The 27,751-nt window shown below is 45.0% G+C and overlaps 2 protein-coding genes across 27 annotated transcripts in view, besides 4 other annotated features; one reads left to right on the top strand and one right to left on the bottom strand.

Annotated features, from left to right (window-relative positions):
- MEIG1 (meiosis/spermiogenesis associated 1) overlaps window positions 1-19,261 on the bottom strand; it is a 33,823-nt gene extending 14,562 nt beyond the window's left edge. The window contains exons 1-3 of one of the 4 annotated variants that reach the window (XM_024448136.1): window positions 19,185-19,261; window positions 6,883-7,049; window positions 632-976 (exon numbers count right to left, since the gene is read on the bottom strand). In XM_024448136.1, the coding sequence (XP_024303904.1) occupies window positions 848-976; window positions 6,883-7,049; window positions 19,185-19,248 (360 nt within the window). In that variant the 5' untranslated portion in view covers window positions 19,249-19,261 and the 3' untranslated portion in view covers window positions 632-847. Of the gene's footprint in view, window positions 1-631; window positions 977-6,882; window positions 7,050-13,931; window positions 14,102-19,101 lie in introns of those variants that run through there. The other 3 variants (XM_047425662.1, NM_001080836.3, NR_147060.2) reach the window with 3 other exon arrangements.
- Window positions 13,829-13,878: a silencer, noted in NCBI's record as "silent region_2166". NCBI's record gives its function as "represses an Ori minimal core promoter by ATAC-STARR-seq in GM12878 lymphoblastoid cells {active_cell/tissue: GM12878}" and the evidence as "EXISTENCE:reporter gene assay evidence [ECO:0000049][PMID:35858748]".
- The window catches only part of DCLRE1C (DNA cross-link repair 1C), a 57,074-nt gene continuing 48,379 nt past the window's right edge, over window positions 19,057-27,751 (top strand). For 6 of the 23 annotated variants that reach the window (NM_001350965.2, NM_001289076.2, NM_022487.4 and 3 more), the window contains exons 1-2: window positions 19,393-19,587; window positions 24,402-24,453. In NM_001350965.2, coding sequence (NP_001337894.1) covers window positions 19,479-19,587; window positions 24,402-24,453 — 161 coding nt within the window. In that variant the 5' untranslated portion in view covers window positions 19,393-19,478. Of the gene's footprint in view, window positions 19,588-24,401; window positions 24,454-25,879; window positions 25,965-27,751 lie in introns of those variants that run through there. The other 17 variants (NR_146961.2, NR_110297.2, NM_001350967.2 and 14 more) reach the window with 6 other exon arrangements.
- Window positions 19,202-19,281: a silencer, noted in NCBI's record as "silent region_2165". NCBI's record gives its function as "represses an Ori minimal core promoter by ATAC-STARR-seq in GM12878 lymphoblastoid cells {active_cell/tissue: GM12878}" and the evidence as "EXISTENCE:reporter gene assay evidence [ECO:0000049][PMID:35858748]".
- Window positions 19,300-20,027: an enhancer, noted in NCBI's record as "NANOG-H3K27ac hESC enhancer chr10:14995461-14996188 (GRCh37/hg19 assembly coordinates)". NCBI's record gives its function as "activates a minimal SCP1, AML or CMV promoter by ChIP-STARR-seq in naive H9 embryonic stem cells {active_cell/tissue: H9 hESC(naive)}" and the evidence as "EXISTENCE:reporter gene assay evidence [ECO:0000049][PMID:30033119]".
- Window positions 20,028-20,756: an enhancer, noted in NCBI's record as "OCT4-NANOG-H3K27ac hESC enhancer chr10:14994732-14995460 (GRCh37/hg19 assembly coordinates)". NCBI's record gives its function as "activates a minimal SCP1, AML or CMV promoter by ChIP-STARR-seq in naive H9 embryonic stem cells {active_cell/tissue: H9 hESC(naive)}" and the evidence as "EXISTENCE:reporter gene assay evidence [ECO:0000049][PMID:30033119]".

Here is a 27,751-nt window from a genome sequence, read left to right as displayed (position 1 = left end):
CTGCTGGGAGATTTCTATCACTACTTCCCAGCAGTCACTAGTGGAGGACTTCTTCCATGGGGGGCATTATTCCTTGACACTTCCAGTTTGCCCAGCAAGAGGCAAAGGACTCCAGGGGCAAGAGAAAGACCTTGGGCCACAAGACCCATATCTGGCATCTCAAAGCAATGTTCTAGTAAAGACATAAATGCCAGGAATGGGTATAGGTGGAGCACTAAGACTATCTGCTATAAGAAAATATGTCACTAGTCTAACCATTGGGATGATTTCAAAGGTGTTTTCCCATACTTAATGGTGATCACACCACAGTTATTATGGACAGAGGCCAGGTGTGGTGGCTCACACCTGAAATGCCAGCACTTTGGGAGGCTGAGGCGGGCAGATCACTTGAGGTCAGGAGTTTGAGACCACCCTGGCCAACGTGATGAAATCATATCTCTATTAAATATATAAAAATTAGATGGGTATGGTAGTGCACACCTGTAATTCTAGCTACTTGGGAGGCTGAGGCATGAGAATCACTTGAACCCGGGAGGCAGAGGTTGCAGTGAATCGAGATTGCACCACTGCACTCCAGCCTGGGCGACAGAGCGAGACTCTGTCTCAAAATAAAATAAAATGGACAAAAAGAGCAGGACCAAGAAAGTACAACTTTAATGCATCTGCAGCCAGTTCTTAGAACAGGACAAGGTGATTAGCAGATACCAATTCTCATGGCTTTTGTGTTTCACAAAACATTAAACTGCAGACTGCATCTTGAATTATTTCATCAAATGACAAACACATGATGTAGAAGGAAATGATGAATACTTAAAATATAATTGACAAGTAATACAAAGAAGACAGGCTAGTAAGCATAAATTTTCACTTTGTGGACTTCTTTGTCATCACATTCCCTCTGTTTGTTGTAGTAATAGAACGTATTGTCCCTTCTCTGAAGTTTCTTCACATATCCTGTCTCCGGCCAACGATCTACCTGCACATCAAGAACCAGAGTACAAACGTTACAATGGAGGGTTGATTTTTATCTCATATTTTACTATCAAATAGTTAAAAAGTATGACTTACAGAAACAAAGTATAAGATTAGATTTTAGAATGCTTGAGCTTTTAAAGTATGATACCCACAAGACACATCTTACATTGCAGCCTTATGCTGTAAGATAACTAATTCAGGCCGAGTGCAGTAGCTCATGCCTGTAATCCCAGCACTCTGGGAGGCTGAGGCAGGTGGATCAATTGAGGTCAGGAGTTCAAGACCAACCTGGCCAACATGGTGAAACAATGCCTCTACTAAAAATACAAAAATTAGCTGGGTGTGGTGGTAGGTGCCTATAATCCCAGGTACTCAGGGGGCTGAGGCAGAAGAATCCATTGAACTCTGGAGGCAGGGGTTGCAGTGACTCTAGATGGCGCCACTGCACTCCAGCCTGGGTGACAGAACAAGACCCTGCCTCGGAAAAAAAAAAAAAAGACAACTAATTCAGTGCTTTTCTCTAGAGCCCAATTTCTAGGTTTATTTTATTTTGTTTTATTTTGGAGACAGAGTCTTGCTACATTGCCCAAGCTGTCCTGGAACTGCTGTAGTCAAGTGATCCTCCCAGCTCGGCCTCCCAAGTGCTGGAATTACAGGCCTGAGCCACTGCACCCAGCTCCAATTTCTAGATTTAAATTTCAATACTGTGGCCAAGATAAGACAAAACATTCCAAGTAATCTAAACTTCATTTCTCTTATGTTTACAAAAGATTTTAAACATTCTAACTTCTAAAATTAATACCACAGGAGGAAATTAGGGCTAAGCCCAGGCTCCATTTTGTAAGTGCTGCCTGCTGATTGTTGATGAATACACAGTGAATAAAGCAAGCAACTCAAGAACTATCCAAAAGTGTATATGCATTTCCTTCTGCCCCAATTTCAAGTTCACCTTGAAATCCATTTTTTTTTTTGAAACAGGGTCTCACTCTGTCTCCGAGGCTGTAGTGCGGTGTTGTGATCATAGCTCACTACAGCCTCAACCTCCTGGGCTCAGGGGATCCTCCAGCCTCTGCCTCCCGAGTAGTTAGAACTACAGGTAAGCACCACCATGCCCAGATAAGTTTTCTATTTTTCTTTTTTTTTTTTGTAGAGACAGGGTCTCACTATGTTGCCCAGGCTGGTCTCAAACTCCTGGCCTAAAGCAGTCCTCCTACCTTGGCTTCCCAAAGTGTCAAAAATCTTTTTTTTAATTTCTTCTACCATTCTTTATTGTTGTTATTATTATTATTATTATTATCATTATTATTATATGTTGCCGAGGTTGGTCTCAAACTCCTGGTCTCAAATGATCCTCCTGTCTTGGCTTTCCAAAGTGTTGGGATTGCAGGTGTGAGCCACTGTCCCCAGTCATCTCCTACCATTCCTTCTTGTATACCATATTGGTTTATCTACTTTTTCATTTGGCTTGATCTAATTTGGAGATCTGTCTCTCCACTTCCTCTTCAATGTTATCCCTTCCTGGCCAGGTTAATGTATTTCACCACTGTCAAATATGTTCCTTTCAGATTTTGTGAGATGCACTTTATCATAACCAAAAACTCATTATCTAGGTTGTAGAAAACCAAATCCTGCTCTTCAACACCATCTATACAGGCAGTCCTGCACCCTTTCTCCAAATCCTGTTCTTCAACACCTTCTATACAGGTAGTCCTGCACCTTTTCTGTTCCCCATGAATAAATCTCAGCTTTCAGTAGGAAGAGGAGATGAATATACCATCTGTGTCCACATGTCTTTTACTTTCTAATAACACATCTTCATTTTTTGTGTCATCTCATTTACTTATGAATTAGCGAGAATAGGTAACAGCATATCTGAGAAGCCTTGGCAGGCCTTCTGACATACATTACAGAAAACCAGCAGTCCTTTCCACCACTGAGGCCACACCTGCCTGTGTGGCTTCCAATACCTTTGGCAGGGAAAGGAGGTGTTCTCAAGACTCCATTACAGCCCTCTTCCCTCCTGGGGCCAGGAGCAGATTATCTGAAAGCCATCTGATCCGGTGAGAAAACAGTACAACCAATGCCTCTTCCGAACATCTGGAGCTGAGCTACTTGATATGGGACAATCCTTAGGACAGCTAAGTTGCTCCTTTGCTTGTTGACTTCTAGACATTTTTCCTTTTGATGTCCCTTGGCATCTCTGAACTTTCTTTTCTTCTTGACTTTCAACTTGATCATTTCCATTTGATCTGGGAAACTTTCTTGCCTGTGGTGGAATGGAATGAGATCCTCAAGTTCAAGGACTTTCCCCTCAGGAGGGAAGGTCAGCAAGCACTATACCACCAGGTAATGAAAAACAGCTTCTCTCAAACCTCAAACCACTGCACACTGGGAGAAACATCCCACCCAAAGCAAGCCTTCAGTCACCATCCTATCCGTCCCTGAAGACCCACTGCAAATGCCACTGGGGACACTAAGCCCTCTCTGGGGATTGTCCCTGGAAGGAAGTGATTTTGTTTTCCTCTAAATCCCTGTGCTTCTTTTTGTTAAGGAACATATACTTCGATTTGTGTAAGGTTTTATTGTTCTTGTTACTTATTTTAGAATCTAAGATGATGAGATTAATAAAAGGTATCATTTACTAAACACTTGCTGTTCCTTCAGTCAACAAATTTTTTGTGGGGGAGTCTCGCTCTGTCGCCCAGGCTGGAGTGCAGTGGCATGATCTCAGCTTACTGTAACCTCCCCCTCCCGGGTTCAAGTGATTCTCCTGCCTCAGCCTCCCTAGTAGCTGGGATTACATGTGTGCACCACCATGCCCGGCTAATTTTGTGTATTTTTAGTAGAGACAGGGTTTCACCATGTTGGCCAGGCTGGTCTCTAACTCCTGACTGCAGGTGAACGGCCCGCCTCTGCCTCCCAAAGTGCTAGGATTACAGGCGTGAGCCACTGTGCCCAGCCCAACAAATTATGAGCACTATAATGTCAGGCACTTCAAACATGTGATTACATTTAATTCTTGTGACAACTTTCTTTTCTTTTTTCCTTTTTTCTTTTTTTTTTTTTGAGACAGGGTCTTGCTCTCTCACCCAGGCTGGTGTGCAGTGATGTGATCACAGGTCACTGCAGCCTCGATCTCCTGCACTCAAGCAATCCTCCCACCTGAGCCTCCCAGTAGCTGGGACTACAGAGACACTCCACCATGCCTGGCTAATTAAAAAAAGTTTTTTGTAGAAATGGGTTCTCACTATGTCACCCAGACTGGTCTCAAAATCCTGGCCTCAAGCAATCCTTCACCCTCAGCCTCCCAAAGCACTGGGCTTAGAGGCGTAAGCCACCACAGCTGGCCGCCTATGAGTCTGAGGCTTGTGTATCTTTAGGGGCATCCCAATCTTAAGGCAGGGTATGAAACTTATTTTATTTATTTATTTATTTGAGATGGAGTTTCACTCTTGTTGCCCAGGCTGGAGTGCAATGGCGTGATCTCGGCTCACTACAACCTCCACCTCCTGGTTTCAAGTGATTCTCCTGCCTCGGCCTCCCGAATAGCTAGGATTACAGGCATGTGCCACCATGCCTGGCAAGTTTTGTATTTTTAGCAGAGATAGGGTTTCTCCATATTGGTCAGGCTGGTCTCAAACTCCCAACCTCAGATGATCCACCTGCCTCGGCCTCCCAAACTGCTGGGATTACAGGTGTGAGCCAACACGCCCAGCCCAAAGCTTATTTTAAACAGCATAAAAATGATAATGCTTCTGTTTTTTCTGTTTAAAAGCCATAGATGATATAGTAATGAAAATTATCCTTGGCAATGGGGATAGAGTATAATGGTTGAGAAGACAGATACATGGAAGTCACAGTAATCAATCTTCACTTGATCAGTATTTTAAATTCTATTGTTAACCACAATAATGTCATTAAATTAATGTCTATTAAAGAGGTAATAACATGATAGTTCCGTATTGCCTCCATTATTTTTCCTATGTACTTTTAAAATTTTAATTTAATTAATTAATTTATTTATTTGAGATGGGGTTTCGCTTTGTTGCCCAGGCTGTAGTGTAATGGTGTGATCTCAGCTAACTGCAACCTCTGCCTCCTGGGCTCAAGTGATTCTCCTGCCTCAGCCTCCCAAGTAGTTGGGACTACAGGTGCATGCCACCATGCCCGGCTAATTTTTGTATTTTTAGTAGAGACAGGGTTTCACCATGTTGGCTAGGCTGGTCTCAAACTCATTACCTCAAGTGATCTGCCTACCTCGGCCTCCCAAAGGGCTGGGATTGCAGGCGTGAGCCACCACTCCCAGCCTCCTATGTACTTTTAAAGGAATTTTTAAGTAGAGGTCAAAGAATAGAATAAAAGAAAAAGAAGAGCTTATAGTGATCTGCAAAATCTACACATTAGAATCTGAAAAATGATGAGTTAGTAAAAAATAAAAATAAACAACTGAGTTAATAAACACTGTTATAATCCCAAATCTAAAAATTAAAATATATTTATGAATACTATGTCATATTTTACAATACAGTTGACCCTTGACCAATGCAAGTTTGAACTTGGGGAGTCCATATATACATGGATTGTTTTCAAAAAATTTGTTGAAATTTTTTTTGAGATTTGCAACGATTTGAAAAAAGTTGCAAACCACACAGACTATAAATATCAAAAATAATTAAGAAAAGGTTTGTCATGAATGCATAAAATATATCAAGATATTAGTGTATTCCTGGGTTGATCAATTATTCACCTTATGGGCAAGAGTTTCTGTTAACACTAGGTTACTAGTAGTTGTTTTGGGGAGTCAAAAGTTATACACAAATTTTTGACGGCATGAAGCATTGAAGCCCCTAGTCCCTGTGTTGTTCAGGGGTGAACTGAATTTGTAAAAACACGTCTCTTAAGAATCACTTGAACCCGGGAGGTGGAGGTTGCACTGAGCCGAGATTGCGCCAGTGCACTCCAGCCTGGGTGACAGAGTGAGACTCTGTCTCAAAAAAAAAAAAAAAAAATATCTTAGTAGCCAAGAGAATAAATAAGTTAAGAAGAACCACACTGTATAAACGGGAGCCAAATCTAGACTTTGGTCTAGCCTTCATAAAGCAAAGCTAGGTCTCTACCCTCTCAGGAAAGCCTGGGATATACTATCAAAGTCACGAGTTGTTCTAACACTTTTGTTTGTAAGGTATAATTGCCCCAAAAACCACAGGATTTTAACCTCTTTCTAATTCATGGTTAAAATAAAAAGTAACAGGAGGGAAATAATAGTTACCCAACATACTGATTATCTGATAATGAAATCACCTGAGTGAGGAAAAAAGCTTTTTTTTTGTGGTCTACCGCAAAAGATTCATTTAGCAGAGCACAGTTGCTCAATAAAAGAGAAAATTCTGAATGTGCCCAGCTAAACGACCACCTCTTCTCCCACTCTGCCTGCAAATCATTCTTCTGGGCCTCTCCCCGTTAATAAGATGAGAGAGTCTGGCTGGGCGTCCTGGCTATTGCCTGTAATCCTAGCACTCTGGAAGGCTTAGGCGCGTGGATCACTTGAGGTCAGGAGTTCAAGACCAGCCTGGCCAAACACGGCAAAATCCCGTCTCTACAAAAATACAAAAATTAGCCAGGCGTGGTGGTGCACGCCTGTGATCCCAGCTACTCACGAGGCTGAGGCAAGAGAATCCCTTGAATCCGGGAGGTGGAGTGTGCCGAGATTGCGTCACTGCACTCCAGCCTGGGTGACAGAATGAGACTCTGTCTCAAAAAATAAAATAAAAGTAAATAAAAGAAAACAAATAAAATGAGAGAGTTGGAGTCGAATTTCCTTCAGTTATTCTCTGGTTGTTTATAAAATACTTTTCAGCATCTGAGAAATACATTTCGAGTTGAGGTTTGTAGAGACAGAAATCTTACCATAGAAACTTGTTTCACTTGTCTATATTCGGTTTCATCCCGATATCCTGCTTGTTGAAATCTGTACAGATTTTCTATCTCTTCTGACCATTTTTTGGCATGACTTACTGATTTTGGTTTTACGTCAGAACTAGCCATGGTTACAGAGGCCTTATTATCAATAATATCTGAAAGATGTTAAAACAACATTAATGGATAATGTAATAGTGACAATTTTGAAATTCCCTTTAAGAATAAACAAAACTGGCCGGGTGCGGTGGCTCACACCTGTAATCCCAGCACTTTGGGAGGCTGAGGCAGGTGGATCATGAGGTCAGGAGTTTGAGACCAGCCTGGCCAACATGGTGAAACACCGTCTCTGCTAAAAATACAAAAATTAGCTAGGCATGGTGGTGCACGCCTGTCATCCCAGCTACTGGGGCAGCTGAGCCAGGAGAATGGCTTGAACCCAGGAGGTGGAGGTTGCAGTGAGCTGAGATTGTGCCACCGCACTCCAAGCTGGGTGACAGAGCAAGACTCCATCTCAAAAAAAAAAAAAAAGAATAAATAAAACTAACACTTAAAAATTATACTTAGAGTTGAGAATCCCATTAAATATAGTAGTTTTTAAACATACAATTCCAAGATTGAGAAGGATTCATGCTCTATTTTGTGGGGATAAAACTGTAAGAAACAAACAAAAAAAACCCCAAGTCCCTGAAAGATACATACAAAACTGTTTTTTTCTTTATCAATAAAATCCCAGTCAGAGTTGGAGTTACGGAGTGATGTTCTAAAAGCTGTATGCAAATACTGGAGTTCCAGGTAATAGTTTGCACATTTCTGAAAACATGCTCAGTAGATTGTCAAAATATCCACCACCATTCCATTACTTATATTCAAAGCTGCACCTCTCTCTCTCTCTCTCTCTCTCTCTCTCTCTCTCTCTCTCAAAAAGGGAATGTAAGACCCGTCTTCTCACTCTGTTCGCTTTCTTGTTTCTGGGAGGGGATGGTTTATTCTTTTTCACTTCTTAATTGCTTGGAGACATCCCAATTGCTGCAATTCATTTACTGAGGTCACTGTAGTACCTGATCTTTTGATGAACTAATGTGAGAAAATGGCCTAACACAGATTCCATGCACACTGTGTGGCTGTCGTGGTACTGAGACCATGGATTTAAAAACAGTGTAGGAGGTCACTAATAGTCTTGGAAAGTCTAATATACGACTTTAGTTCATGTAATTGTCTATTCACCGAACTTCCATAGCAAGTTTTTCAAAGGCATAATCTTACACTTGTTTTCTCAGCTACTTATTTTATTAACAAAATATATCAGTCATTTAACTGAAATAAAGTGTACAGAATTTTCACTATGATTCCTTGAATGCATTCTTCTATTAAAATATATTTCTATTGGCTGAAACACATTAAAGTCAGATCCTGTAAATAAATTAATATTTTATGAATTTTTTTCAATCACAATAACAAATGCTCATTATGTTTAAAAGGTCAAGAAATACATTAAAGGTATAACAGGGAAAGGCTGGACATGGTGGCTCGAGCCTGTAATCCCAGCAGTTGGGGAGACTGAAGTCAGGAGACCTGAGGTCAGGAGTTCAAGACCAGCCTGGCCAACATGGTGAAACCCCGTCTCTATTAAAAATACAAAATTAGCCAGGCATGGTGGCACATGCCTGTAATCCCAACTACTTGGGAGGCTGAGGCATGACAATCACTTGAACCTGGGAGGTGGAGGTTGCAGTGAGCTGAGATCACACCATTGCACTTTAGCCTGGGCAACATGAGCGAAACTCCTTCTCAAAAAGGAAAAAAAAAAAATGAACTGGGCGTGGTAGCAGGTGCCTGCAATCACAGCTACTTGGGAGGCTGAGGCTTGAGAATCGCTTGAAACCCAGGAGGTGGAGGTTGCACTCCAGCCTGGGTGACAGAGCAAGACTCTGGCTCCAAAAAAAAAAAAAAAAAAAAAAGTATACATATATATGTGTGTGTGTGTGTATATATATATATATATATATATACACACACACACACACACACACTCTTATATACATATATATAAAGGAAAACTCAAAATAAGCATGACATTAATTAGAAATATCCATCCTTCATACTGGGTAAAAATCATGCTAAATATACGATTAATTAACATAGACTTAAAAGTTTTATTTAAAAGGATCTTCTAATAAATGCTTTTACAAGACATAAATTTAGCTTCACTTGGATTTAATAGAGGAAAAATAGGAAATGGAAATAAAATAGACAGACTTGCTGAATTTCAGACAAATATTTCTTCAATATGAAAGATGTAGCCTAAATGTTCCCTTAGTGGTTGGTAAAAAAAGATAATGAAGACTGTTAGGAGGCTAAGTCACAAGTACCAATGGACTCTTTTCTATGAAAAACAAGAAAGATGTTCTAATGCTCTTCCTATTTAGATTTTTGTTAAATTACTTAACATTCTAAATATTATAGTGTTTATATTGTATTCTTTTTTTTTTTTTTTTTTTGAGACGGAGTCTCGCTCTGTCACCAGGCTGGAGTGCAGAGGCGCGATCTCGGCTCACTGCAAGCTCCACTTCCCAGGTTCATGCTATTCTCCTGCCTCAGCCTCCTGAGTAGCTGGGACTACAGGCGCCCACTACCATGCCCAGCTAATTTTTTGTATTTTTAGTAGAGACGGGGTTTCACTGTGTTAGCCAGGATGTTCTGGATCTCCTGAACTCATGATCCGCCTGCCTCAGCCCCCCAAAAGGCTGGGATTACAGGCGTGAGCCACCACGCCTTGCCAAATTTTTATATTTTTAGTAGAGATGGGTTTCACCATGTTTCTCAGGCTGGTCTTGAACTCCTGGCCTCAAGTGATCGTGTACCTCGGCCTCCCAAAGTGCTGTGATTACAGGTGTAAGCCACCGCACCCGGTCCAGTTTTACAGTATTATACGAGTTTATGTAAAATTTGGAACACCTGGCAAAACAAATAAGCCACGCTTCAGTGAAACCTTTGTCCTTTAATGCCATTCATTCTAGTGGGAAGTTCACTACTCCACTGCTGCACAATATAATAGCAATATACCAGCTATGACAAAGAGGTGAGTTGGACATGTGATACAGCCTAAGAATCCATTCATATATATAATATGAAACATTACACAGGAATATAGATATATTACACAGGAAAAAGGTTCTAAGAAATATTAAAGAAAAAAGTTAGGCTGGGCGTGGTGGCTCACGCCTGTAATCCCAGCACTTTGGGAGGCCGAGGTGGGTGGATCACCTGAGGTCGGGAGTTCGAGACTAGCCTGACCAACATGGAGAAACCCGTCGCTACTAAAAATACAAAATTAGCCGGGCGTGGTGGCGCATGCCTGTAATCCCAGCTAATCAGGAGGCTGAGGTAGGAGAATTGCTTGAACCTGGGGGGCAGAGGTTGCAGTGAGCCAAGATCGTGCCATTGCACTCCAGCCTGGGCAACAAGAGCAAAACTCTGTCTAAATTAAGAGAGAAAAAAAAAAGTTAGTGAATTCACTGTATTAAAATACTTTCAGGACAGGACGGTGGCTCACGCCTGTAATCCCAGCACTCTGGGAGACTGAAGTGGGTGGATCACGAGGTCAGGAGTTCAAGACCAGCCTGGCCAAGATGGTGAAACCCCGTGTCTACTAAAAATATAAAAATTAGCCAGGCATGGTGGCGCATGCCTGTAATTCCAGCTAATCAGGAGGCTGAGGCAGAGAACTGCTTGAACCTGGGAGATGGAGGTTGCAGTGAGCCGAGATGGTGCCACTGCACTCCAGCCTGGGTGACAGAGCGAGACTGTCTGAAAAAAAGAAAAAAAAAAAAAATTCCAAATTAGTCATATTTTTATATGAATTTAGTGACTGTATTACTTACAGGACTTTTACAGATGAAGCACATGTAGTGATACAATCTTAATTTTTGTCTTATCTATGCCCTTTTTGCTTTAGGCTTGACTTTTTGCTCATATTCATTCGAAACGTATTTTCTTGAATGCCATCTATGTAACCTTTTGTCACTTTCAGCTCAAAAAATTATGGCAACTATACATAAAAATGCTACATTTAATAGAAGAGCAGAAAATATGCTGTATTCAATTGGACTTTGGGGGAAATCACCACTTTTCTCAGTAGAAATAGACATCCTCCGGTTATTATTAAGCATTTCAAAATTTTATTTTCCCAAAATACCTAAAGAGAATATGAATGTAAATTTCACCATAGTAGGAACTCTAGTGACTACTGTAACTACGCTATATAAGTGGTGGTGGAAATTCTTTTTTTTTGCCCTTACTTTCAGTTTATTAAAAACACAAAATGAAACTAAAATTAGGAAAGATCAACTTACAATTCCTTGATTAAATTTTTCAGTGATTCTAGGAAATTCAGTGGCAGTTCTAATTCTGCTAGTACTTAGCTCTTGCAGACTGAGTGGTTTCTTTGCTGGCAGTTGTGCCAAAAAAAGAATTGATAAAAAATACATTTAATGGCTGGATGCAGCGGCTCACACCTGTAATCCCAGCTCTTTCTGAGACTGAGGAGGGAGGATCCTTTGAGTCCGAGTTCAAGACCAGCCTGGGCAACGTAGTGAGACCCTATCTCTACAAAAAATAAAATTAGCTGGGTGTGGTGGCCCATGACTGTAGTCTCAGCTACTGGGGAGGCTAAGGTGGGAGGATTGTTTGATCCCCCAAGGTTGAGGCCACAGTGAGCTGTGATCAAGTCACTGCATTCCAGCCTGGGAGACAAGAATGAGACCCTGCCTCAAGAAAAAAATGTTAAAAAAATAAATAAATAAAAATAAACGTTTTGGCCATGTGCGGTGGCTCACGCCTGTAATCCCAGCACTTTGGGAGGCCGAGGCAGGTGGATCACCTGAGGTCAAGGGTTCGAGACCAGCCTAGCCAACCTGGTGAAAACCTGTCTCTACTAAAAAAAAAAAAAAAAAAAAATTAGCCGGATGCGGTGGCGGCTGCCTGTAGTCCCAGCTACTTCGGGAGGCTGAGGCAGGAGAATCACTTGAACCCAGGAGACGGAGGTTGCGGTGAGCCAAGATCGCACCACTGCACTCCAGCCTGGGTGACAGAGCAAGACACCATCTCAAAAAAATAAATAAATTTGACATCTAAAATACCAAGTTGTAGCTCCACAAACAGGAAACAGCAATGCCTGAGTTTCTGGTTTGTGAAACTGAATTATATGAAATACTTAGGGTTTATATGCATACAGATGGTCCCGTGGAATGGTTCAACTCATATCTCCACTTTACCATGGTGCAAAAGCAATACGCATTCAGTAATTCGAGTACCCACGCAACCATTCTGTTTTCCACTTTGAATTCAGTATTCAGTAAGTTACATGACATAGTCAACACTTTATTATAAAATAGGCTTTGTGTTAGATGATGTTGCCCAACTGCAGGGGAGCTAAGTGTTCTGAGGACGTTTAAAGTTGGCTAGGTGCATTAAATGCATTTTCGACCTACCATGGGTGTATTGGGACATAATCCCATAGTTAAATTGAGGAGCATGTTATTTTATTTATTTATTTATTATTTTTTTGAGATGGAGTTTCACTCTTGTTGCTCAGGCTGGAGCGCCATGGCGTGATCTTGTCTCACCACAACCTCCGCCTCCCAGGTTAAAGCGATTCTCCTGCCTCAGCCTCCCGAGTAGCTGGAATTACAGGCATGCGCCACCATGCCTGGTTAATTTTTTTGTATTTTTAGTAGAGACGAGGTTTTCCCATGTTGGTCAGGCTGGTCTCGAATTCCCGACCTCAGGTGATCCGCCTGCCTCAGCCTCCCAAAGTGCTGGGATTACAGGGGTGAGCCACCACGCCCGGCCTCGGGCACGTTATTTTAAAAACACACCATCTCGGCGCGGTGGCTCACTCCTATAATCCCAGCACTTTGGGAGACCGAGGCGGGTGGATCACGAGGTCAGGAGATCGAGACCATCCTGGCCAACAAAGTGAAACCCCGTCTCTACTAAAAATACAAAAAATTAGCCGGGCATCGTGGCGGGCACCTGTGGTCCCAGCTACTCGGGAGGCTGAGGCAGGAGAATGGCGTGAACCCGGGAGGCGGAGCTTGCAGTGAGCCGAGATCCCGCCACTGCACTCCAGCCTGGGCTACAGAGCGAGACTCCGTCTCAAAAAACTAAAACAAAAATAAAAACAAAAAACACCATCTCAACTCCCTGACAATCTAAAGTTGGAACAGAAGCTTCTGATGTAGCCAGCCACCCAAATTCCCTTTTCACTTCCCTTTCACTCTGAAAAGCGCTTTTACTTTTAGTAGTATTAAAACTTCAAGAGCATTAGCCTCCCTAATAGTCCCTTTTATTCCTCCTATTAGATTATTTCTGTTCTTAAGAGGCAGCAGGAGGAGCCCTGTAACCAGCACGTAACCTTAGGCAAGGCCATGAACACGCCTGCGCCTGTTTCCTAACTTAAAGAGAAGCATTAGCCGGTCTCTAAGGTCCTGGAACTCCCGTCTGCTGTCGCTGGGCGTTCATTTGAAAGACAAAAGCGGTTCCGAAAGCACGCCCGGCGGTCCCTGCTCTGGGAGTGCTGACCTGCCTGTGTGCAGCACAAAACCGCTCCCTTCCGGCCCTCACAGCTAACCTGCAGTCCCCATCCCTCCAGCTTCCTTTCTGCCATAAATCACTAACTGTGTGGGAGATGAAATCCGCCTGGTGAAGGCTGGGACGGACAAAACACAGTATTCCAAAATCTAGGGCCCAAATCGGAGCCCTCGGAGACGCGGCCCCTAAAGCCAATGGGGTCCGGGGCGGCCCGGAAACTTCCGGGAGAACCGGACCCTGAGATTCTGGAAGGGCCAAATAGTGACCCTCTTCCCTAAAAATCACGGAAGAGACATGAAAACCACGGGATCTCCCTGGCAAACCTCAGGAGACAGCAGAGAACTGCGGAGCCGAGAAGGCGGGGCAAGAACTTCCGGGGTGGGGCTACGGCCGGGGCGCAGGGGTTGGCGGGCAGGGCCCTCGCCTCCAGCGACGCATCCACCCACCCCTGGGTCCGGCTCTACTGGGTTATCCTCGTTCCGCCGAGCAGGAGAGGCCGGGGGCGCCCGGGAGCTTGCAGGCGGGCGTGGGTGCTTGCGTTCTCTACTCGGGATCCGCGAGCAGGGCCAGCGAGAGGCCAAGTGTTGTGCCCTTCGCGACCCTCGCGTCTCTTAGTAACGCGATGAAGCTGCAGGAGCTCCCGGCTCCTTCAGGCCCCGCCCAGCTAGCTCAGGCCCCGCCCCCGGGAGTGGGCTTTTATGCGCATGCGCGAGGGCTGGGGTGGGCGCCGGCCCATCTTACTAAGCCAATGTAGGTCCCAGGTAGGAGCGCTGCCAGGGCTCACCCCTGAGCAGAGATGGAGGGCGAAAAAGGGTTACTTGCCGCTACTTGAATCCCAGACAAAATTCCCTGTGAAAGCGGATCACAGCACGGAGACTGTGTTTGTAGTTCCTGATAGTAGATATCTCCTATCTATTCATTTGCGAGGAATGAACCATTCCAGAGAGTCGCCATAGTGCCTGACAATCAGTAAACCTACAATAGATGATATCTATAGCTTTAATTATTTTTTCTAGCATTATCTATTACTATATTACAGTACTATCTAAGCGAAAAGTGATCAGATTCAAGATATACGGTTTTTTGTTTTTTTGTTTTTGTTTTTTTTTAGACGGAGTCTCGCTCCGTCGCCCAGGCTGGAGTGCAGTGGTGCTATCTCGGCTCACTGCAAGCTCCGCCTCCCGGGTTCACGCCATTCTCCTGCCTCAGCCTCCCGAGTAGCTGGGACTACAGGCACCCACCACCACGCCTGGCTAATTTTTTGTATTTTTAGTAGAGACGGGGTTTCACCGTGTTAGCCAGGATGATCTCGATCTCCTGACCTCGTCATCCACCCGCCTCGGCCTCCCAAAGAGCTGGGATTACAGGCGTGAGCCACCGCGCCCGGCCAATTTACATGTTTTGAATGTAGAGCCATCAGGACTTGTCAAATTGTTGAATGAAAGAAAGGAGCAATTGTGTGCTGGAGCCAGCTCATTAGAGCTCTGGAGACTCAGTAATTAAATTTTTAGGAATTTTTCTGAGCTCGTTGTTAAATACAAGCCATGAGCTGGAGTCAATGAAGATGACAAGGGCCTCGGGCACCTGCCCCAAACAAAACAAAAACACAAGACATATCACAAATTAAATTATATAAACTTCTAAATAAACGAGTCATACTAAAACAAAGGCAATACTTAGTAAAACTAAAAACAAAAAACTATTTACTTACAACTCCCAAATTTCTCTCTTCAGCCCGGTCTTTCTCTGAACTTTAGATTTGTATATCAATGTATATTCAACATCCACTTGATTGTACAAAACAACCTCCCCAAACACCTCCCTGCCAAAACAAAAACAAAAACCCTGCTCCTTCTTCATGTCTTTTAGTAGATGTGGCCTAGAGCCCTCTCTTTCCATATCCATCAATGCAACCTGCTGACTTTATAGCTTCTACTCAAGCCATCATAATTTTTCTTTTTTCTGGTAATTACAACCGTTCCCAACAGCTCTCTATGCCCCCTCTGTAGTCTGTTGTCAACACAACAGTCAATGCAATCTGTTTAAAACCTAAGTCAAGGCCGGGCGCGGTGGCTCACACCTGTAATCCCAGCACTTTGGGAGGCTGAGGTGGGCAGATCACGAGGTCAGGAGTTCGAGACCAGCCTGGCCAATATGGTGAAACCCTTTCTCTACTAAAAATACAAAAGAACTAGCTGGGAGTGGTGGCGTGCACCTGTAGTCCCAGCTACTCGGGAGGCTGAGGCAGGAGAATCGCTTGAACCCAGGAGGTGGAGGTGGAGGTGGAGGTGGCAGTGAGCCGAGATTGCGTCACTGCACTCCAGCCTGGGCATAGAGGGAGACTCCGTCTCAAAGAAAACAAAACAAAAAAACCTAAGTCAAATTATGTCAGTCCTCTGCTCACAACCCTGCAATGGCTTCCCATCTTATGGAGAGTGAAAACCAGAGGCTATACATGGTGAGCAAAGCCCTGTAAGATTTGCTCACAACACCCTCCCTCCTTCCTCTGTAGCCCCGGATCATTCTGCTGCAGCCACACTGGCCTAACACTGCCTAGCACACAGTAGGTGCTAAAGGGATATATTTTGAATCAGTATATTTCATCACTGCCCTTCCGATGCTGTGGAGGCAGCATGGCACGGTGGCTAGCAGTGTGTTGTCAGAGAGCACAGTGTCTAAAAGTGTGGTGGCCTTCTTGGATTTAAATCTGAGCTCTACTTACTATCAACATGACCCTGGACAAGCTACTTAACCTCCGTATCCTCAACTGGCAAATGAGGACAGAAAGTGTACCTATCTGATGGGCAGGTAGGATGTGAGGATGAAATAATGAGTATAAAACACTGATAACATCTGGAACTACATAAATGGTAGACAGTAATTACTTGCATTAGAAGGTACACTCCCACGTCCACAGGGATTTTTGTCTGCTTTTTTAGTTTTATTTTTTTGAGACAGGGTCTCTTTTGTCGTCTAGACTGGAGTGCAGTGGTGCCATCTTGGCTCACTGCAATCTCTGCCTCCAGGTTCAAGTGATTCTTGTGCCTCAGCTCCCAAGTAGTTGTTATTGTAGGTGTACCACCACACCCGGCTAATTCTTTTTGCATCTTTAGTAGAGCTGGGGTTTTGTCATGTTGGTCTTTAACTCCTGGCCTCAAGTGATCCACCTGCCTTGGCCTCCCAAAGTGCTGAGATTACAGGCAGGAGCCACCAGGATGGGCCACATTTTTTGTCTACTTTGCTCACTACTGTATCTTTAGTGTCTAAAATAGTGTCTGATACACAGTAGATGGTCAGTGAATGATTTGCTGAATGAATTAAGCTTCACCATCACATTTCCTGCAGTATTGCAGCAGCTTCCTACCTGAATTCCTGCCCCAGACTTCTTGAGTGTTGTGTTTTTTTGTTTTGTTTTGCTTTCGAGATGGAGTTTCGCTCTTGTTGCCCAGGCTGGAGTGCCATGGTCCAATCTCGGCTCAGTGCAATTTCCGCATCCTGGGTACAAGCAATTCTCCTGCCTCAGCCTCCTGAGTAGCTGGGATTACAGGCCCCTGACTCCATGCCTGGCTATTTTTTTTTTTATTTTTAGTAGAGACGGGGTTTCCCCATGTTGGTCAGGCTGGTCTCGAACTCCTGACCTCGGGTGATCCACCTGCGTCGGCCTCCCAAAGTGTTGGGATTATAGGCATGAGCCACCACACTGGCCCTGAATGTTCTTTAGACTCGAATCCAGTGGTTCTCAAACTTTAGGGTCCATCAGAATCACCTAGAAGGTGTGTTAAGCTGCAAACTGCCAGGCCCCACTCTCCCAGAGTTTCTGATTCACTAGGTTTGGTCTGGGCTATGCTTACCTATCTTGCCTATTTTCTATCCTGTCTTTCTCTTTGTCCTGACTCTATTTCCCTTTGTTTGTACTGTATCCATTGTGGAAAGAGGAGGAGATAAATAAGTGAGCAAATACATAAGATCACGAGCATTAACTTGACCTGCCTTTCCTGGAGCTCTACCGTGAGATTCTTCGGACACTAGACTCACAGCAGAATTTGTTGTTAGGTCTCCATAACCCTGCCAGGGCAGTTGTTCCCATGTGTTCTAAGACAAACCATCAAAGGTGTTGCCAGTAGTATACTAGCAGGATATTTTACCTCAATTAGTGATTATGTTGTGTATACCTTTCCATGTCACCCCTCCTCCCCCTCCTCAAGATTTCATGGAAATCTGTATTTGAATAGAACTCTGAGTATCATGGCTACAGGCACAAGCTGACATTCACTAGGGATGTCATTCTGTTTTGTTTTGTTTTTTTGAGACAGAGTCTCTCTCTGTTGCCCAGGCTGGAGTGAACTGGCATGATCTAGGCTCACTGCAACCTCCGCCTCCCAGGTTCAAGTGATTCTCCTGCCTCGGCCTCCCGAGTAGCTGGAGATGTGTGCCACCATGCCCGGCCGATTTTTGTATTTTTAGTAGAGATGGGGTTTCACCATGTTGTCCAGGCTGGTCCTGAACTCCTGACCTCAGGTGATCACCTGCCTCAGCCCTCCAAAGTGCTGGGATTACAGGCATGAGCCACTGAGGTGGGCTGGGATGGCATTCTGATTCCTGATTTCCCTGGTCAGAAATCTTTGTTCCTGGATTTGTTCTCACGTTACCTTGCGTCTCTGTGGAAGCATTTATTTGCCATATTCTGCAAACATGTTGTCGCCAGATAGATTGAATGCTACCCGAAGGTTTGTCACAGTGCTGTGCACAAAGTGGGACTTCAAGTGTTATGGAGGCCTGGAAAGCCAGGTACAATGGCTCACCCAGCACTTTGGGAGGCCGAGGCGAGCGGATCGCATGAGGCCAGGAGCTCGAGACCAGCCTGGTCAACGTGGTGAAACCCCGTCTCTGCTAAAAATATAAAAATGAGCCAGGCGTGGCGGCGCGTGCCTGTAGTCCCAGCTACTCTGGAGGCTGAGGCAGGAGAATCGCCTGAACCCGGGAGGCGGAGGTTGCAGAGAGCCGAAATCACGCCACTGCACTCCAGCCTGGGCGATAGAACTAGACCCCAACTGAATAAATAAATAAAATAAAGCGAAAGTGTTCTGGGTTGTTTGTGTTTAATTATACTAAGGAGATTTGATAGGAAGGAGCACAATAAATGTCATGGTGATTATTTGGTTTATTGTAATACAATAAAGGAAATACAATAAAAGGTTTAACAAACCTTTTCATAAAGTTGCTTTGGTTGTTAAAAAATTTTAGACCTTTCCTGCCATTTTTCTTTTTTTAAGTACATCATTCTAACTTCCTAAAAGTATAGCTCAAAAAGGTGGGGGCCCAGGGGAGAGGCCAGCAGCGAAGGCATTATTGGGATCTTATTTGCCCCAAGATCACGCAGAGATGATTTATTCAGTTTGTAGATTATATAAACGGAAGAGGGAATTAATAGTTCCTGAATCTACCATGAGTCAGATACAAACTTTCTCATACAACCCTCACGGTAATCCCACAAGGTTAGAAATTGGGAACAGAAGAGAGAGGGCGGGGAACTGAGCTCGGGTTTCAGGCTAGCAGCAGACAAGCAGGAAGCGGAACGAAGAATGATTTCTAAGCGCAGTTCCGCAGCCCACTCACCTCGTCGGCTGGGGCCACCTGCTCTGGGAGTTTCGATTTCCCTTCCCGCGACTGCACCTCCACAGACATGGGCAACGCCTTACCAGAGCAACACCTGTGTTTGTTGGGCGGGAATGAGCCTTGCACTGGGCAGGGCTCAGGGCCCATCGCGTGCAGCGAAGCGCGGGTGATTTAAACCCAAGCAGCGGGCGCCTAGAACCCGACCGGATGCTCCTTGACTTTGCCCCCGGTCTCCGGACTCCTCTGATTGGACGTGGCTGCGTTCGGCCGCCCAATGGCGAGGCAGCGCGCGGCTTCCCGGAAGTGGCGGCGCGGTCAGGGCTGGCCTTGGCTTCAGCTGCGGTTTTGGGGTCCCGGACTCTGGGATCGGCGGCGCTATGAGTTCTTTCGAGGGGCAGATGGCCGAGTATCCAACTATCTCCATAGACCGCTTCGATAGGGAGAACCTGAGGGCCCGCGCCTACTTCCTGTCCCACTGCCACAAAGGTGAGTGAGGGCTGCGCGTCGCCCGCTCCCGGGGCGCTGGGGGCTGGAGAGAGGACAGGAGGGGGCCGGCCCTGGAGCAAGGAGCTGCAGCCTGTGGGAAGCCAGCGAGGGGGCGGCCAGCACACGCCTTGTCCCAGTCGGGCTCTTCAGCCTCTCAAAGGCTTCATCTATTTTCGGATGTGGTCAACGCGGCGTAACGGCGCCTGCCAGTTGCGCCCCGGGCCGGCTTGGTCAAGCACTGCTAGTAGTTTCTCTTGGTAGCTTTGCTGGTGGCCGATGATCAGAGATTGGCGAGGGTTAGTACTTCCCTCAGAGCCTCGCTACCATGTATGAAGAAAACAAGTTTCAGATCCATTTGACCACACCCTCAAACATTGGTCAGCAAGCAGGAGACTCAGACACACACACAACTGTGGAACAGCCCGCCTAAGAGCTCCACGAAGTGCAAGCTCCTTGGCCTTTGGGTGTTCTGTCCGTATCCAATATGAAAGTTTCGTTCTAGTTTAGGTTGGAGGGATGTTTCCCTTCTAGATGGTATCAGGCAACCTGAAAAGCTACTATGATTTCACAGCTGGATCCTTTCACAGCTGGGCCGATTTAGGGATTAAGGTTAGAGTGTCGCTGATGCTCCAAGCAGAGATTGGAGCTAAGTTCCAGAGTTTAAATACCGCTAACTTGACAACCATTGTTCATTTTCACTTCTATTGTGCTAACAAGTCACTAACTTTTACCAGGGAAAACAGTTTTAATGCTCATTGTGCTAATTCGCCCAGCCATTAGTGTTAATTGGAGAAAATGATAAACGGAATCACTGGAGTTGCTGCCTCCTGCTGTGTGGCCTTGCAGCGTGCTGGAGCAGGAAGCTCCCACTACCCTGTGGAGTCAATCAGCGTAACAAACCTATCTGTACCTGCGCAGTAGGAAAGTATTTTAAAGTAAATTACAGGTATCCAAACACAGCCTTTCCTCACAGGGTTGGTGTGAAGGCCAGCTATGTTGTTTTGTGTGTGGAATCAATCACTTGGACTATAAATCGTTGAAGTTACTGCTTCTGCGAAATGTCTCTGCTTTTTTTTTCCACAAAGCCACCAGTGATTTCTCTTTAATGGGAAAATCTGGACCTCTTCTCGTGCGTTGCCGTATTCGCATCGTGCACGTCTTTGAGCATCTCCTTCTTCTTTTTCTTTTTTTTGGAGACAGGGTCTCCCTTTGTCGCCCAGGCTGGAGTACAGTGTGGCACATGCTCTCTGCTCAAGTAGTTGGGACTACAGGAGTCAGCCACCATGCCTAGCTAATGTTTGTATTTTTATTATTATTTTGAGGTGGAGTCTCCATCACCAGGCTGGAGTGCAGTGGCGTGATCTCTGTTCACTGCAACCTCCGCCTCCTGGGTTCAAGCGATTCTCGTGCCTCAGCCTCCCAAGTAGCTGGAGTTACAGGCACGCACCACCACACCCAGGTAATTTTTGTGTTTTTAGTAGAGATGATGTTTCACCATGTTGGCCAGGCTGGTCTCGAACTCCTGGCCTCAGGTAGATCCACCCACCTCAGCCTCCCAAAGTGTTAGGATTACAGGTGTGAGCCGCTGTGCCTGACACATTTCTGGTTTTGTTTTTCATTGAGAATCCACTGCTGGACGAGGATATGCCTATTTTTACTTTTTGTGTAGAGCCGCACTGGAGTCTCTGAACTCAAAATGGGCTAGCCAGGATTAAAGTATACTTCCGAAACTTGCACTTCGTGTTTAGGATGGCTGAGTTTGGAGAAATAATAAATCTAAAGGAATTTGAAATCATCATAAGTTTGTGCATTAAGCCAGAAATGGACTCTTCCCTACTGTTGAACAGTCTATAACAACTTTTTCTGTTCTCTGACCACATGTGGATCTGCTTAGTCAACCAGGACATAAACTCATCAAGGGTGAAAACACAACTTCTGCTTTTGGAGGTTTCTCACATTGCCTTCTGTTGGCTTTTCACCTTTTTGGGACACAGGCTTCTTTGATTATGATATGGACTATCTCCACAAAATTCATATGTTGAAGCCCTAACCCCCAAAGCGACTGTATTTGGGGCTGGGGCTTTTAGGAGGAAAATAAGTTTAAGTGGGGTCCTACCGTGGTGTCCTACTCTGATAGGATTAGTTTCCTTACAAGAGAAGGAAGAGAGAGGGCGCTCTGTCCTCATGCGGGGCCTAGGAAAGCCATGTGAGTGCATAGTGAGAAGGCGGCTGTCTGTAAGTTAGGAAAAGTGCCCTCTCCAGAAACCAAATCGCCCCGCATCTTGATCTTCCCAGCTTCCTGAACTGTGAGAAATACCTTTTTGGTGTTGAAGGCAACCAAAACACTACCTTTCCTTACAGCGCTGGTGTGAAGGCCAACTATGGTATCTATGGTATCTTGTGATAGCAGCTCAAACATGAGAAACTGTATGGACTCTTTTGCTAGAAAAAATGCATGGAAACCCATCCACATCACTTCCTTTTTTTTTTTTTTTTTTTTTTTTTTTTTTTTGAGACAGGGTTTTGCTCTGTCACCCAGGCTGGAGTGCAGTGGTGCGATCTCGGCTCACTGCAGCCTTCACCTCCTGGACTCAACCAATCCTCCCACCTCAGCAAGTACTCCCACCTGAGTAGTTGGGATTACAGACATGCACCATCATGCCTGGCTAATTTTTCTATTTTTTATAGAGAGACAGGATTTCCCCATGTTGCCCAGGCTGGTATCGAACTCCTGGGTGCAGGTGATCCACTCACCTCAGCCTCCCAAAGTGCTGGGATGACAGGTGTGAGCTACCACACCCAGCCCCACATCACATTTTGATATAATTCGGAGTAGGCTATGGACCCACCTGATGCTTATTTGTGGGCCATCTGGAAGCCAATGCTGTGTGCAGGGTGGGCTTTACTAAGCATCATCAGTAAGTTCTGAAAGATGAGAGGGCCCCCCGACCCCTGAGACCTGAGATAGTGGCCCAGGGTTGGGGAAATCCCCTAGAGGGGACAATTTATGATGGTTGCCAAGGAAAAGGAAAACCTCCCTGGAAAAGCAGACCTGGGTGCAGTTCCAGCCACACAAAGCAAACCCATCCAGTTCTTGTGACTACCAGCTGGAAGGGGCCTCAGGGTGGTGAGGATGGGGGACCATGATGCACCATGCAGGGTGCTGCCTGCTTAGTCAGTGTGGGAGCAGGATGCAGAGTCTGCATTCAGCCTCCTCTTTGCCATGGCGCAAACTCTTTGGAAACTCCAATTACGGAGAATGCTGCCCAGGGATATACCCATAGGCCCTAAAAGACTGGACCAGATATCCCTTGAGGGAATTTACCCAGTGGGAGACAGGTGGACTCTCCTGGAGGCATATATACAATCAAGGGCTGCCAAGTGACATGTGGTGACTGCTCTGCTTTCACTGGGTCTAATGATGGCCACACGACATATAAATTGAGGGGGTGCTTGTGTGTGTGTGTGGTGGTGCTCGTGGTAATTAGAATTGGTTTGGTTTAGCTAAGCAATTTATTGTTCTTGTTTTTTTTTTTTTTTTTTTGGTTATTATTTATTTTTGAGATGGAGTTTCACTCTAGTTGCCCAGGCTGGAGTGCAATGGTACAATCTCAGCTCACCGCAACCTCTGCCTTCGGGGTTCAAGCAATTCTCCTATCTCAGCCTCCCAAGTAGCTGGGATTACAGCCATGCGCCACCAGCCCCAGCTAATTTTATATTTTTAGTGGAGACAGGGTATCTCCGTATTGGTCAGGCTGGTCTCGAACTCCCAACCTCAGGTGATCCGCCTGCCTCGGCCTCCCAAAGTGCTGGGGTTACAGGCATGAGCCACCGCGCCCAGCCGTTTGTTTGTTTTTGAGATGAAGTCTCACTCTGTCGCCCAGGCCGAAGTGCAGTGTTATGGCCTTGGCTCACTGCAACCTCTACCTCCCATGTTCAAGTGATTGTCCTGCCTCAGCCACCCGAGTAGCTGGGATTATAGGGGTGTGCTACTATTCATGGCTAATTTTTGTATTTTTAGTAGAGATGGGGTTTTACCATGTTGGCAAGGTTGGTCTTGAACTTCTGACCTCAGGTGATCCGCCTACGTCGGCCTCCCAAAGTGTTGGGATTACAGGCAAGAGCCACCATGTCCAACTGGTTTAGTTAAACAATTTAGAGCTGTTTGATCATTGTTGTCTGGGCCTTTACTTGCTAAAGATTCAGAATATATTGGAATGCATGATATACTTAATGTAATAGTCGGTCTAATTGCTACCTTTCTGTTGTCTGTGTCTGTTAATGTGGAGCGCTGTGGAGCAAGTCTTTGTGGATAGTAATATTCCCCTTTCAATCCATCACAGTAGGCTGAGAAGATGACGAAACACTTACTCTGAACCTGAGTGATTTCCCAGCAGACTCCATGACCACGAACTTGAATTTCTAGATAGACTGATTTAAGTGGCAGAAAGTGAATGGGTCCCATAGAGCTTGGCTCGAAGGATGGTTGGATTGAAATGAAGTAAGAGTGGAGGGCTAGAAGCAGTTCTCATTCTTCTGTGGCTGCCCAGAGTGATTTAAACTCTGGCCTATGATGCACAGAATCACTCTCCTTTTAAATTGACTTGGATGGCTCAGAAATGGGCAGCCGGTCCTGTTCTGAGGAGGATTCTTCACTTGCAGAAGAAAGAGCTCATAGCCCATGTGAATCAATTCTTATAAAAGCAAACCTCATGGGTTTTCTCTTGAAGCTGAAAAAGAAGACGACTGTTTCCCTTGGGCTAAGGAATCCTCTGGAAAAACATATTCATGAGTTTTTGTTCTTTTGTTTTTAGATCACATGAAAGGATTAAGAGCCCCTACCTTGAAAAGAAGGTTGGAGTGCAGGTAATTTATTTTGCTACTTGTGTTTTTAAGCAAACATTTTAATTGAGAGATAACAACTGTACAGAAAAGTATATACATCCAAGCATATAGTCATTTACAAAATGAACGCATCACCCAGATTAAGAAATAGGACAGTACCAATATCCCAGACCCCTCTTACCTCCCAACTCATTCCCTCCTCCCAAAGGTAACCTCTATTCTGACTTTTGTCATCATGGGTTAGCTTTGGCTGTTTGTGAACTTGATATATATATATATATATATAATCCTACCAAATACACTCTCTAAAAACAACAACAACAACAACGACAGCAACAAAAAAAACAGAGATGGAGTTTTGCTATGTCGCCCAGGCTGATCTCGAACTCCTGGCCTCAGGTGATCCTCCTGCCTCATTCTTCCAAAGGGCTGGCATTATAGATGTGAGCCACTGGCACCTGGCCCCAAATATACCCTTTTATATTTGTTTTACTTTACTTAACTTTGTATTTGTGTGATTTATCTATGCTGCTAGGTACAGCAGTAACTCACTCCATGTTATTTCTGTAAGAGTATATGAGAGAGAATGGCTGTTCCATTGTAAAGGATCATATAATACTGGATTTTTTCTTAAAGCTGAACTGTTAGATGCTTCTCTTGCAGCCATTGCCTACATCTAAATTCCCCCTTCTCAAGATACATATTTGAAAAGGGCCAGTGGATGTCAGGCTTCTCTGCTAATTGATAGCAATACTCTGTCTTCTTGATAATGATAGCTAACGTTTATTGAATACTTACTGTATCTTGGCACTGTGTATTTTTTGTTCAACAATTTTTTTTTTTTTTGTAGAGACGGGGACTTACCATGTTGCCCAGGCTGGTTGTAAACTCCTGGCTTCAAGTGATCTCCCATCTTGGCCTCCCAAAGCCCTGGGCTTATAGGCATGAGCCTTTGCACCTGGCCAATAATTTTTTATTACTTTATTTGTATTTACTTATTGACTTTTGTGACAGGGTGTTGCTCTGTCGCCCAGGCTGGAGTGCAGTGGCACGATCTCAGCTCACTGCAACTTCTTTTCGAGTGATTCTTTTGCCTCAGCCACCGGAGTAGCTGGGATTACAGGCACCCACCACCACGCCCAGCTACTTTTTGTATTTTCGGTAGAGAGGGGTTTTACCATGTTCGCCAGGCTGGTCTCGAACTCCTGACCTCAAGTGATCTGCCTGCCTCAGCCTCCCAAAGTGTTGGGATTACAGGCATGAGCCACCACTCCTGGCCTCAGTAATTTTTTTTGGTCACCTGTGACATGTCGGGCATTGTACTGGAGGTGGAGAATGCATTAGTGAGCCACACAGATGCAAGGCTCTGCACACTTGTACCTGACATTGTCATTAGAGCTTCTTGATAACCTTTTGAATAGATCCTACTATTATTTCTATTTTACAGATGAGGAAACTGAGGAACCAGAGAGGTTAAATTAGTTGCCCAGTGTCACACAGCCAGTAAGTGGCAGGACCAGGATTCCAGCCAGGTCTGTCTGATTGCAGAGCCTATGTATCAGTCATCTGCTGCTGCGTAACAAATTACTTCAAAATGGAGTGACTTAACACTGATCATGTCTTATTGCTCAGTTTCTGTGGATCAGGGATTGACAGGGTAGAATGGGAATGGTTTCCCAGCCCAGGTATCAAACATCAGTGAGCAGAGTCTTCAGATGTCAGCCCCTTAAGATCTGAAGACTCCCTTATCCATGTCTGATACCTGGGCTGGGAAAACTCACACAGCTAGGGGCTAGAACCATTTGGCATGTTTTTTTGTTTGTTTGTTTGTTTGTTTGTTTGTTTGAAACAGAGTCGAACTCTGCTGCCCAGGCAGGAGTGCAGTAGCGTGATGTTGGCTCACTGCAATCTCTGCCTCCCAGGTTCAAGCAATTCTCCCAGCTCAGCCTCCCAAGCAGCTAGGACTACAGGCACGTGCCTCTAAGCCCAACTAATTTTTTATTTTTCAGTAGAGATGGGGTTTCACCATGTTGGTCAGGCTGGTCTCAAACTCCTGACTTCAAGTGATCTGCCCACCTTGGCTTCCCAAAGTGCTGGGATTACAGGCGTGCGGCATCTCTATCTCTAAAAGTCTCTTTAGGCCAGGCGTAGTGGCTTAGGCTTATAATCCCAGGCCTTTGGGAAGCTGAGGTGGGAGGATGACCTGAGCATAGGAGTTTGAAACCAACCTGGGCAACGTAGGGAGACCTCATCTCTGCAGAAAATAGGAAAAATGAGCCAGGTGTGGTGGCATGTGCTGTAGTCCCAGGTGCTCAGGCTGCTGATGTGGGAGGATAGCTTGCATTCCAGCCTGGGTGACAGTGAGCTCCCCTCCCCCTAAAAAAAAAAATCTCTTTAGCGTGAGTCTGTCAGGATGGCCAGACCTGTTAAATGGAGACTCAGGGTTAAAAAGCGTATGTCCTAAGAGAGAGCTAGGAGGAAGTTGTACTACCTGGAGATCTAACCTCAAAAGCCATGCAATTACTTCCACCGCATTCTATGGTGAAGGTAATTACAGAAAACTGCCCAGGTTCAAGGGGAGGGAACATAGACCCCGCCAGTCAGTGGAGGAATTTTAGTATCTATTTTGTAAGGAGAGCATGTATGGATGGTGTATGTCATTGTGTGGCCATCTTTGGAAAATACAATCTACCGTAGACTATATTCCTAACCTCAAAATGATAGCGTTAAGTTTTAAAAGTTTATTATGGTCTGGGCGCGGTGGCTCATGCCTGTAATCCCATCACTTTGGGAGGCTGAGGTGGGTGGATCAGTTGAGGTCAGGATATCGAGACCAGCCTGGCCAACACGGTGAAACCCCATTTCTATTAAAAATACAAAAAGTTAGCTGGGCGTGGTGGTGCGCATGTAGTCCCAGCTACTCAAGAGGCTAAGACAGGAGAATCGCTTGAACCCGGGAGGCGGAAGGTTGCTTTGAGCCGAGATCGCGCCACCGCACTCCAGCCTGAGTGACAGATCAAGACTCCATCTCAAAAAAAAAGAAAAAAAAAGTTTATTATGAAATTAATTTCTGTTCATTAAAAAAAAAAAAAAAGAATAGGCCGGGCGCAGTGGCTCTCGCCTGTAATCCCATCACTTTGGGAGGCCGAGGTGGGTGGATCACCCGAGGTCAGGAGTTCGAGACCAGCCTGGCCAACGTGGTCAAACTCCATCTCTACAAAAATACAAAAATTAGTCCGGCATCATGGCGCGTGCTTGTAATCCCAGCTACTCGGGAGGCTGAGGCAGGAGAATCGCTTGAACCTGGGAAGTGGAGTTT

The sequence above is a fragment of the Homo sapiens genome, chromosome 10 (assembly GCF_000001405.40).
Source record: "Homo sapiens chromosome 10, GRCh38.p14 Primary Assembly".
Lineage (NCBI taxonomy): Eukaryota > Metazoa > Chordata > Mammalia > Primates > Hominidae > Homo > Homo sapiens.
This window is presented reverse-complemented; position numbering and strand designations above follow the sequence as displayed.